Source organism: Homo sapiens, chromosome 10 (assembly GCF_000001405.40).
Source record: "Homo sapiens chromosome 10, GRCh38.p14 Primary Assembly".
In the NCBI taxonomy this organism is placed as follows: domain Eukaryota; kingdom Metazoa; phylum Chordata; class Mammalia; order Primates; family Hominidae; genus Homo; species Homo sapiens.
In genome coordinates, this window is record NC_000010.11 from 13426890 (window position 1) to 13439508 (window position 12619).

At 44.5% G+C, this 12619-nt stretch overlaps 1 protein-coding gene across 16 annotated transcripts in view; it reads right to left on the reverse strand.

Annotated features, from left to right (window-relative positions):
• Positions 1-11591: 11591 nt before the first annotated feature.
• Positions 11592-12619, reverse strand: part of BEND7 (BEN domain containing 7) — a 91154-nt gene continuing 90126 nt past the window's right edge. For all 16 annotated transcript variants that reach the window (XM_047424786.1, XM_011519393.4, XM_011519392.3 and 13 more), the window contains one exon: positions 11592-12608. In XM_047424786.1, the coding sequence (XP_047280742.1) occupies positions 12283-12608 (326 nt within the window). In that variant the 3' untranslated portion in view covers positions 11592-12282. The remainder of the gene's footprint in view (positions 12609-12619) is intronic.

Here is a 12619-nt window from a genome sequence, read left to right on the forward strand (position 1 = left end):
AAATATTTGCAAACTATATATCTGACAGAAAACTAGTATCCAGAATCTACAAGGAGCTCAAACAAAGCAGCAAGAAAAAAACCAAATCATCCCATCAAAAAGTAGGTAAATGACATGAATAGACATTTCTCAAAAGAAGATATACAAATGCCCAACAACGAAAAAATGCTCAACATCACTAATCATCAGGGAGATGCAAATTGAAACCACAGTGAGATACCTCCTTACCCAACCAGAATATCCATTATTAAAAAGTCAAAAAGCAATAGATGGTGTGGATGTAGTTAAAAGGGAATGGTTATATCCCGCTGGTGGGAATGTAAATTAGTACAACCTCTGTGGAAAACAGTATAGAGATTTCTGAAAGAACTACAAGCAGATGAACCATTTGATCCGGCAATCCCACTACTGGGTATCAACCTAAAGGAAAAGAAGTCATTATATCAGGAAGACAACAGTATGCATATGTTTATTGTAGTACAATTCACAATTGCAAAGATATGGAATCAACCTAAGTGCCCATCAAGAGATGAGTGGATAAAGAAAATGTAATATACATATACCATAGAATACTACTAAGCAATAAAAAAGAAAGAAAGAATGTCTTTTGCAGCAACTTGGATAGAGCTGAAGGTCATTATTCCAAGTGAAGGAACTTGGGAATGAAAAACCAAATACCACATGTTGTCACTCATAAGTGGAAGCTAAGCTATGGGTATGCAAAGGCATATGCAAAGATATAATGGACATCGAAGACTCAGAAAGAGGGGGTGGGAGGGGGTGAGGGATTGAAAAACTACATATTGGGTACAGTGTACACTACTTGGGTGATGGGTACTAAAATCTCAGACTTGACCACTGTACAATTCATCTATGTAACCAAAAACTACTTGTACCCCTAAAGCTACTGAAATAAAAAAGAAATGCAAATTAAAACCACAATGAGCTGTCACCTCACACCTGTTAGGATGGCTATCATCAAAAAGATCAAAGATAACAAGTGTAGCCAAGGATGCGGAGAAAAGGCAACCCTTGTCCACTGTTGGTGGGAATGTAAATTGGTACAGCCGCTATGGATAACAGTGAGAGGTGAAGCCAGCTGGACTTCCTGGGTGGAGTGGGGACTTGGGGAACTTTCTGTCTTACAAGAGGACTGTAAAACGCACCAATCAGGAACTTTTCTGTCTTACAAGAGGATTGTAAAACGCACCAATCAGCACTCTGTAAAACGCACCAATCAGCACTCTGTAAAATGCACCGATCAGCAGGATTCTAAAAGTAGCCAATTGCGGGGAGGATTGAACAAAGGGCACTCTGATAGGACAGAAAGGGAACATGGGTGGGGACAATAAGGGGAATAAACGCTGGCCACCCCAGCCAGCAGGCAACAACCTTCTGGGGTCCGCTTCCATGCTGTGGAAGCTTTGTCCTTTCACTCTTCACAATAAAACTTGCTACCATTCATTCTTTGGGTCTGTGCCATCTTTAAGAGCTGTAACACTCACCACGAAGGTCCACAGCTCAATTCTTGAAGTCAGCGAGACCACGAACCCACCGACAGGAACCAACTCCAGACACCCCAGTATGGAAGATCCCCCAAAACCTAAAAATAGAACATGATCCAGCAATTCCACTACTGGGTACATATCCAAAGGAATTAAAATCAGTCTGTTGAAGAGATACCTGCACTCTCATATTCATGGCAGCACTATTCACAGCAGCCAAGATGGGAAATCAAGCTAAGTGTCCATCAATGGATAAAGAAAATTTGGTCTATATACACAATGGGGGCATATTCAGCTATTAAAAAGGAAATCCTGTGATTTGTGACAACACAGATGAGTCTGGAGGACACTATGCCAAATAAAATAAACCAGGTACAGAAAGGCAAATACTCTGTGACCTCACTTTTTTTTTTTTTTTTTTTTTTTTTGAGATAGAGTTTCGCTCATCACCCAGGCTGGAGTGCAATGGCAAGACCTCAGCTCACTGCAACCTCCGCCTCCTGGGTTCAAGCGATTGTCCTGGGTCAGCCTCCTGAGTAGCTGGGATTATAGGCATGTGCCACCATGCCCGGCTAATTTTTGTATTTTTAGTGGAGACGGGGTTTCACCATGTTGGCCAGGCTAATCTCGAACTCCTGACCTCAGGTGATCCACCCGCTTTGGCCTCCCAAAGTGCTGGGATTACAGGTGTGAGCCACCTTGCCCGGCCCTGTGTGACCTCACTTCTATGTGGAACCTAAAAATGTTGAATCCTTAGATGTGGAGTAAAATGGTGGTTACCAGGGGCTGGGAGTGGGGGATGGTGGAGTGGGGAGGGAATCAGGTGTTGGTCGAAAGATACGAAGTTGCAGTTACATAGAAAGAATAAGTTTTTGAGATCTATTGCACAGCATGGTGACTGTAGTTAAAGTATAGTATATTTCAAAATTGTTAAGAGAATGTATTTCAAATGTTCTCATCACAGAAAATGATGTGTGTGAGGTGATGAATAGGTAAATTAGCTAGATTTGATCGTTCCGTAATGTACACATATATCAAAGTGTCGCATCATACCCCATAGTTATATACAATTGTTATTTGTCAATTAAATATAAAAAATGTAAAAATATATATTTTAAAAAGATGCTCAGCATTATTAATCACCAGAGAGATGCAAATCACAACCACAGTGAGGTACCACTTCACACTCACTAGGATGGCTATAAGAAAACAAACAATCACAAGTATTAGCAAGTGTGTGGAGACATCAGATCCCTCATACATTGCTGGTAGGAATGTAAAATGGTTCAGATTCTTTGGGAAACAGGTATTTCCCCAAAAAGTTCAATATAGGCCAGGCGTGGTGGCCCACACCTGTGATCCCAGCACTTTGGGAAGCTGAGGCAGGAGGGTGGTCTGAGCCCAGGGGTTTGAGACTAGCCTGGGCAATATAGTCAGACTCAGCCTCTAAAAAAGAAAAAGTTAGCCAGGTGTGGTGTAGTCCCAGCTACTCTGGAGGTTAAGGTGGGAGGATTGCTTGAACCCAGGTGGTTGAGGCTGCAGTGAGGTATGATGGTGCCACTGCATTCCAGCCTGGGTGACAGAGCAAGACCCTGTCTCAAAAAAAAAAAAAAAATTTCAACATAGAGTTACCATATGACCCAGCAATCCCACACCTACCCATATACCCAAGAGAATTGAACATATATGTCTGCACAAAGACTGGTACACAAATGTTTAGAGCAGCATTATTTATAATAGCCCCAAAGTGGAAATAACTCAAAGGTCTATCACTGATAAATGGATAAATAAAATGCAGTCTGTCCATGTAATGGAATATTATTTGGCAATAAGAAGCAATGAAGTGCTGATACCTGCTGTAACATGGGTGAACCCTGAAAACATGCTGAGTGAAAGAGACCAGTCGCACAAGACCACACATTGTATGATTCCATTTATATGAAATGTCCAGAAGAGACCAATCCAAAGGGAGAGAAAGTAATTTGTGGTTGCCTCGGGCTGGGAACGGAGCAATGTTGGTGAGTGACTGCTCAGGGGAGCAGGGTTTCTTCTTGGGGTTAAGAGAATGTTCTGGAATTAGAAGGTGATGGTGGTTGTGCAACTTTGTGAATCAATTAAAAACCAGTGAATTGCATGGCTTAAAGTGGTGAATTTTATGGTATGTGAATTATATCTGAAAAAAGTCAATGAATGCTTAATGCAGAAAATAAGAAAAGAAGGAAACAGAAATTGCAGTTGCAGCATCTGGAGATAATCACTGCAAATGTTTTGATGTAGATTTCCAGACTCTTATGTAAATCTATACATCTTTGGAAAATAAAGTGGGATCATGTAGCCCATATACTTTAGCAAAAATTTTGTTTTTATATTACTAGTACTTTTCCTTTGCATTAAGAAATAGCCTCTGTAAGTATCAGTGGATTTCTCCTTTATGTCTTGCCTTTCCACATATCTCTGCCAAGCCATGCTCCTCTTCCCTACTCTTTTCTTCAGGAGAACTTACCTAATTCATCTGCTCCACCTCCCCTTGGCACCTCTACCTCCCCTTGGCGCCTCTGTCTCCCCTGAGCACCTGCCAGAGCTGTTAGAGGAACCAAGGGGAACTGAGGCCTCCTGGAGCATCATGTTTGTGGGACTCAAGGTGGTTCTAGAGGGCAGAGTGAGGGTCAAGGCCAGCGGAGTTAGGTGGGCACGTACACTCCAGAGCATGCGTACAAGGGGAGGGGAGAGAGCGAGGTCCAAGGAACACACAACTGGGCCCAAGAAGGAGCTGGGGAAGGGCGCTGACAGGCAGATTATGTGGCCTGAGGGAGCGAGAGGTTCCGGTGTCGGGTCCTGGCTCTGCCTCTTCCTTGCCCTTGCTGGGCCTCAATCCCAACAGCAAAGAGGGGACCGAGTGTTGAACTTTTCCCAACAGCAACACTAACTGTCTGCACTCCCAGGCTTGACCCACCTCCAGAGGTTCACCCGGGGGATTGGCCCTTCCAGATGCTTCTGTCATGCCACTTAGATGTCTCCATCAGAAAGTAAGGGACAGTGATGCTATCACAGGGAAAACGGAATTTGCTCTAATTCGCTGAGGGAGAGTTCCCACCTAATTATTACTACTTCCAAGTCACTCATATCCCAATCAGGGCTCTGAGGTTGGGGCCTTGCCCTATCTTCCACATCTCCTAGGGCTGTAGTTCCCAAACTTGAGTGTGCTCCAGGATCACCTGGAGGGCATCATGAAACACACCAGTCCCACTCCCAGAGCCTCTGAGCTGTTGGTCTGAGCTGGGGCTAGAGATATTGCATTTCTATTACATTTCCAGGTGATGCCGATGTTGTTGGTCTAGGGAATCCCCTTTCCAGGAGCACTGTTCAACAGCCTCACCTCTTTCCTGCTCCCCCAGCCACCTGCAGCAAACGTCTCCCCACTAAAGTGAGGGTTCCCAGTGATTTTGGTGGCTTTCACCATTCTGGGGATAGTTTGCCTGCCATCTCAGTCTCCCCTAATTCTTTTGGTGGATGGATGGATGATGGAGAGGGCAGGGGGTCAGGGGGTGGGGAATGAAGGAAAAAAAGGCACCAGAGCTTTATTAATAAATGCTAGATTGAGAGGCTGAGGCGGGAGGATCACTTGAGGTCAGGAGTTTGAGAACAGCCTGGCCAATGTGGTGAAACCCCGTCTCTACTAAAAATACAAAAATTAGCCAGACGTGGTGGCATGTGCCTGTAATTCCAGCTACTCGGGAGGCTGAGGCAGGAGAATCTCTTGAACTGGGGAGGCAGAAGTTGCAGTGAGCCAAGATCGCACCACTGCACTTCAGCCTGGGTGATAGAGCAATACTCTGTCTCAAAAAAAAAAAAAAAATATATATATATATGATATAGCCAGTACTTATTTTCATACTGGTCATTCTGATCAAAAGCTCCCTCTTGGAATCAGTCTGCTAGGTTCCCTTGGAAATTTTTTTTTCTTTTTGAGACAGAGTCTCGCTCTGTCGCCAGGCTGGAGGGCAGTGGATTGATCTCAGCTCACTGCAACCTCCACCTCCTGGGTTCAAGCGATTCTCCTGCCTCAGCCTCCCGAGTAGCTGGGATTACAGGCGCCCAACACCACGTCCGGCTAATTTTTGTATTTTTAGTAGAGATGGGGTTTCACCATGTTGGCCAGGATGGTCTCAATCTCTTGACCTCGTGATCTGCCCACCTTGGCCTCCCGAAGTGCTGAGATTATAGGTGTGAGCCACTGCCCTCGGCCCGGAAACATTTTAATAGAGAACCAGCTGTCAGGTTGAAGACACTACTTCCCAGCCTCTTTCTGGCAGTGTGTTAGTTAGGGACATTTCCAAAGAGATGATTCAAATAGCACACTTTAAACAAGGCCTGACACAGAACCAGTAGGCAACACATTTCTCTGGAAGTACATCCCACAGCATAGAGATCAGCTGTACAGGCTCTAGATCAGAAGGTCTGGGGTTGGATCCTGGCTCTGCTACTTGTTAACTATGTGACTTTGGGCAAGTTACTTAAGCTCTGTGTAACTCAGTCTTCTCACCTGTGAAGTGGGGATGGGTATAATAGTACTTCCAGGCTTATAATGGATAACGGAATCGTTATCTGTAAAATACTTATGACAATGCCTAGCTCATAAGAAGCATTTAATCAACATGTGTTATCATTCCTAGTGCAATGCTTTCATGCAAATAGAAGTATAAAGATCACTGTAAAGGCAAATCACATGGGCTGGGCCCCCACTGGGGTTATTCTGGATACTTCTCTCCACTAATAAGGCTACTTGACGGGCAAAACAGATGCTAAGAATGTGAGTTGGAGTCATATTCCCTAGGTTCAATCCTGGCTAAAAAAACTCCTTCTTAGTTATGTGAGCTAGAAGAAGGTGCCTAATTTCTTTCATCTGTTAAGTGGGGACAGGAGTGGTATCTACTTTACAGGATGGTGTGATGGTTAATACTGAATGTCAACTTGATTGGATTGAAGGATGCAAAGTATTGATCCTGAATGTGTCTGTGAGAGGGTTACCAAAGGAGATTAACATTTGAGTCCATGGGCTGGGAAAGGCAGACCCACCCTTAATCTGGGTGGGCACCATCTAATCAGCTGCCAGTGAGGCCAGGATATAAAGCAGGCAGAAAAATGTGAAAAGGCTAGACTGTCCTAGCCTCCCAGCCTACATCTTTCTCCCATGCTGGATGCTTCCTGCCCTTGAACATCAGACTCCAGGTTCTTCAGTTTTGGGACTCAAACGGGCTCTCCTTGCTCCTCAGCCTGCAGATGGCCTATTTTGGGACCTTGTGATCATGCAAATTTATACTTAATAAACTCCCCTTTATATATATATATATATATATATATATATATATATATATATACACACACACACACACACACACACATATACACACACATATATATACATATATATATACGCACACATATATATACGTTTATATATATATATGTATAGTGTATATATATATATCCTATTAGTTCTGTCCCTCTAGAGAACCCTAATACAGATGGTTTCAAGGATGACCTGAGTTAAACTGCAGGAATGAAGCTTAAGAACAGTGCCCAGTGGCTGGGCGTGGTGGCTCACACCTGTAATCCCGGCACTTTGGGAGGCTGAAGTGGGCGGATCATCTGAGGTGGGGAGTTTGAGACCAGTCTGACCAACATGGAGAAAACCCATCTCTACTAAAAATACAAAATTAGCCAGGCATGGTGGTGCATGCCTGTAATCCCAGCTACTCAGGAGGCTGAAGCAGGAGAATCGCTTGAACCCGGGGGCGGAGGTTGCGGTGAGCCAAGATCGCGCCATTGCACTCCAGCCTGGGCAACAAGAGCAAAACTCAAAAAAAGGAGCAGTGTCCAACTTGCAATGCAAGTCTGATATGTGTTTGACAGTATTCAGAGGGAGTTGACACTATACATGGCTTGAGAGTTGCAAATCTGTTTCTCCAAAGCACATCACCTGCCAGGTCTGTGTAAAACTGCATAGATCAGGAAGAAGCATACGAGAGCACCATCGTGGCCTGAACTCGTTAGGTTCTTGGACTTGTTTACAGCAACCCATCCCACATTTTATTTTTCTTAGTCTTTCTCTCCAAATTCCAAAGGTCTTGGCTGTATTGTTTTTTGAACTGATGTGTCAAATGCACTCACACCTCAGATGGGTTTCTTCTCGGCTTGCAACTAATGCATTTTTTATAAAGCTCTGTCTCCAGTTTCCTTTCAAACTGCAGAGAGGATATCCTTTTGCTCTTAAGCTTCAGAGTGATTTTTTTTCCTTCAAAGTAAAGCATTAACCTCCAGAGTTCTGTAAATGGGTTTGATGTACATATTATGGGAGTAACAAGGAGCTGGATGCTGAAGTTTTCATTGGAGTTTATGTGATACACGAGAAGCCTGTTATATTTCAAGATATTTCAGGTTTTCCTAACAGTATCCAAGCAGTAAGCATTACATATATACTGATACATATGCCACTGAGTTTTTTCCTTTACCTTTCTTTTTTTTTTTTTTTAGTAAATGATACGTGTTCATTTTAGAATACTTAAAACATATAATTTTTAAAAATCACCTGCAATTCTACCAGCCAGAGGTAACCACTGTTAACAACTTCCTTCTTTTTTCTGTACATGCTTATAAATACTGCTCTTAAAAATGTGATCAGGCAGCTGGGCGCAGCGGCTCACGCCTGTAATCCCAGCACTTTGGGAGGCCGAGGCGGGCAGATCACGAGGTCAGGAGTTTGAGACCAGCCTGACTAATATGGTGAAACCCCATCTCTACTAAAAATACAAAAATCAGCCAGTTGTGGTGGCACATGCCTGTCATCCCAGCTACTCAGGAGGCTGAGGCAGGAGAATCGCTTGAACCCGGGAGGCGGAGGTTACAGTGAGCTGAGATCGTGCCACTGCACTCCAGCCTGGGCAACAAAGCAAGACTCTGTCTCAAAAAAAAAAAAAAAAAAAAAAAGGAAAAAAAGGGATCAGGCGCTGGTTAATTAACACATTGTCTATACCTTTTTAAAGCTGTAGGCAGCTATTGGTACATAGTTTTTGGATGCTGCAATTAGTCTGTAGTTACAATCACAACTAACTATAAAAATAAGTGTTTTTGAAATTAAAAAAATACAAGCAGGCAGAACATATTATGTAACAGTAAGTGTATCATGAACATTCCTCTATGCCATTCAATATTCTTCTATACTAGTATATATTGAGAAAAAAAAAAACTTTCCCTTCTCAATGCAAAAGCAGCACATACTATTTAGAGATTTTTTTTTTTTTTTTTTTTTTTTTTTTGGAGACGGGCTCACTGTCAACCAGGCTGGAGTGCAGTGTTACAATCATAGCTCACTGCAGTCTCAACCTCCTGGGCTCAAGGGATCCTTCTGTCTCAGTTTCCCAAGTTGCTGGGACTATGGGCTCACACCACCGCCCAGCAATTTTTTTTTTAAAGAAACGGGGTCTTGGCCGGGCGCAGTGGCTCATGCCTGTAATCCCAGCACTGTGGGAGGCCAAGGCAGGCGGATCACCTGAGGTCAACAGTTCGAGACCAGCCTGGCCAACATGGTGAAACCCTGTTTCTACTAAAAATACAAAAACTAGCCAGGTGTGGTGGCGCATGCCTGTAATCCCAGTTACTTGGGAGGCTGAGGCAGAAGAATTGCTTGAACCTGGGAGGCAGAGGTTGCAGTGAGCTGAGATCATGCCACTGCACTCCAGGTTGGGTGACAGAGCGAGACTCTGTCTTAAAAAAAAAAAAAAAAGAAATGGTTATCTCGCTATGCTGTTCAGGCTGGTCTTGAACTCCTGGCCTCAAGCAGTCCTCCTACTTTGGCCTCTCAAGGCACTGGGATTAGAGGATTGAGCCACTGCACTCAACCACTCTCTCACATTTTTTAAAGCATTTTTTTGGAGGGGCTTTTCTCCTGCTGATATGGTTTGGCTCTGTGTCCCCACTCAAATCTCATTTTGAATTGTAATTCCCACGTGTCAAGGGAGGGACCTGATGGGAGGTGGTTGGATCATGGGGTGGTTTCCTCAAACTGTTCTCGTGATAGTGAGAGAGTTCTCACGAGATCTGATGGTTTTCTGTTTGGCAGCTCCTCCTTCGTTTTCTGTTTCCTGCCCCCTTGTGAAGAAGGTGCTTGCTTCTCCTTCACCTTTTGCCATGACTGTACGTTTCCTGAGGCCTCCCCAGCCACGTGGAACTGTGAGTAAATGAAACCGCTTTCCTTTATAAATTACCCAGTCTCGGGTATTTCTTTATAGCAGTGTGAAAATGGATGAACACACCTGCATTCAGTCTTTCCAATGGCTTCGACTAATTTCGCCAGCTTCCGCCACCTCCTCATCCCTACCCCTGAAGTCACTGGATGCTTTCCAATCAAAAGTTGTCTCTTGGTCTTTGAGAGTGTTCACTTTTTTTTTTCTTTTCTTTTTTTGAGACGGAGTCTCACTCTGTCGCCCAGGCTGGAGTGCAGTGGCGCCATCTCAGCTCACCGCAACCTCTGCTGCTCAGGTTCAAGCAATTGTCCTGCCTCAGCCTCCTGAGTAGCTGGGATTACAGGCACCTGCCACTGTGCCTGGCTAATTTTTTTTAGTTTTAGTAGAGACGGGGTATCACCATCTTGGCCAGGCTGTTCTTGAACTCCTGATCTTGTGATCCTCCCTCCGCCTCAGTCCCCCAAAGTGCTGGGATTACAGGTGTGAGCCACCATGCCCGGCCAGAGAGTGTTTACTTTCTAAAGCTGTATGCTATCATAACGACAGGGTCATGGTGCACGCAGGCTCCTGGCTAGAAATCAGTGTCCAGCCAGTGTCCGGGAGTCAGTCGAACATTTAAAATAAGTCCACTGTGCCATGACTAGTGAACCGATCCCACTGGGGCAAGGCACGGGAGGAACGGGCTGTGGTTAAGGTTGCCAGGCAACATTAATGGGGGCAGGTAGGAAGGACAAACGCACTGGAACATCGCATGGTATGATGATAAAAACAAACACGGAATCTGAACAAGAGTCAAAGCTGCCTGTGGCTATCGGTCCATGTTCTAGGAAGCATCAGGGAGAGGCAGGAGGGGGAGAAAGTGGTATAGCTCACACTAGTGAAATATTTCCCAGAAGGACAGAGCACCGTTACCGTGTGCATCACCGGAGGGGGACGGGGTTAGCCTGGGTTTTGTTAATTGAGTCACTTCTGATGTTCTCTGTCTAGTGGTTAGAAATACATCATTTTTGGAGGGTACTTAATTTGATAATACACAGAGTAAGTGTCCTCTATTTTAATGTATTCTCTTTCTCCCTCCATTGCTAGAGTATAGCAGAAAATAGTTTTTCTAACTGAACCTGCAACTGGGCCACCACTTCAGTGAAACAACTTAGGATGCTTAATTTCCTGTGTAAAGTCATTTTTCACTCCAGTTCACGGGGAGGGCGCTCCATGTTTTGAATGTCTTGGCACCGTGTTGGAGGATACACACAAATGCAAGGCTAGACGGCTGGTTTCCGACTACTCCTCCTTTGATTGCGCTTGTATCAGCTTCGCTTTTGGAAAGCATTTGAAAGAAATCATAAAGTAGCTTAGTTTCAAAGTTTAGGTTTAAAATGCCTTTCCATGTTTCAGTGAACAGTCCAAAATGGCCAAAAATAAAACAATTAAAAAGGCCTTTAACTATCAGGTCTATTTGGAATATCAGTGTGTGTAAAGCATGTGGGGCACTACCCACTCCAAGCTCCATTTCTAGAACGTTCTTTTTTTTTTTTTTTTTTTTTTTGAGACGGAGTCTCGCTCTGTTGTCCAGGCTGGAGTGCAGTGGTGTGATTTTGGCTCGCTGCAACCTCCGCCTCCCGGGTTCAAGCGATTCTCCTGCCTCGGCTTCTTGAGTAGCTGGGATTACAGGCACCCACCACCAGGATGGCTAATTTTGTATTTTTAGTAGAGACGGGGTTTCACCATGTTGGTCAGGCTAGTCTCGAACTCCTGACCTCGTGATCCGCCCACCTCAGCCTCCCAAATTACAGGTGTGAGCCGCAGCGCCCGGCCAGAACATTCTTTTTTTTTAAAACTGTGATTCATTTAAACATTCTTTTTAATTTCACCAATAACAAAATAGAAATAAATATTTATATACACACATATCTGTATATATTACTTTCGGGGGGATAATCAATTTCACGCATTTGAGGTTACAAAACATAATAGGAGTTGATCTGTGTAAATTCAAGTTGCTTTGAATCGCTAGCGTTTATTAAATTCTCATGGAGTACAACCTGCATCTCTTTGGTCGATCTATTGACACAATTTCTCCAATTATAGAAGAGCACTGAGGGGGCGGTATTAGGGGAAAAGGCAAGTCCACGTGATCTAAGACAATGGGATACAGCGGAAAGGAGAGCGCTGTAAAAGGCTCCTGATCCATCCATCCCATGATAAGGCCACTGTCCAACCAGCCTGACCCTCCTCTCAATCTTGGGTTCTGTGATAAAGGCTCTGGGTTTGGGCTGATGGGAGAAGGGGAGTCACTTCTGGTAACTGGCAGCACTGGGAGGCCAGGACTCACTGTCGTCAGAATGACTCGGTTGCATATTCATGGAAACCTCAGGTCCAACTTTAATCAGTCCACTCTTGCTGGGCAAAGGGGAGAGAGGGCATCCTGAACATGTTTTCACCAGGGCCTGAAATCTTAACAGCCTGACATCACAAGGCTCAGATTCCAGTGGAAAGATGGGTGATACACACACACATAAATAAGCAAGATAATTTCAGAGAGAGAGGCAAGAGATGTGAAGGGTAAGAGACTTGGCTGAGCCTGGCGTGGGAAAGTTGCGAATCCCTCTCTGATGATGAAGTGTAGCTGAGACCTGAGTTATGAGGAATGAATGGTGCTTGAAGTCTTGGCTGGTTTGGGACAAAGCTCCTGTTTCAGCTCTGTCTCTGGTAAGGTTGTTCAGGAGCACGAGATGCTGCTCCTCCCAGGGTTCTGCCATCTGTCCCTTTTCTTGTGACATTGTCTGAGGTGAGCTCTGCAAGACTAGGGTCACCGCTGCACTCCCACCCGGCAGAACAGTGCAGGGCCCACCACAAGCACCTGTGGAATGA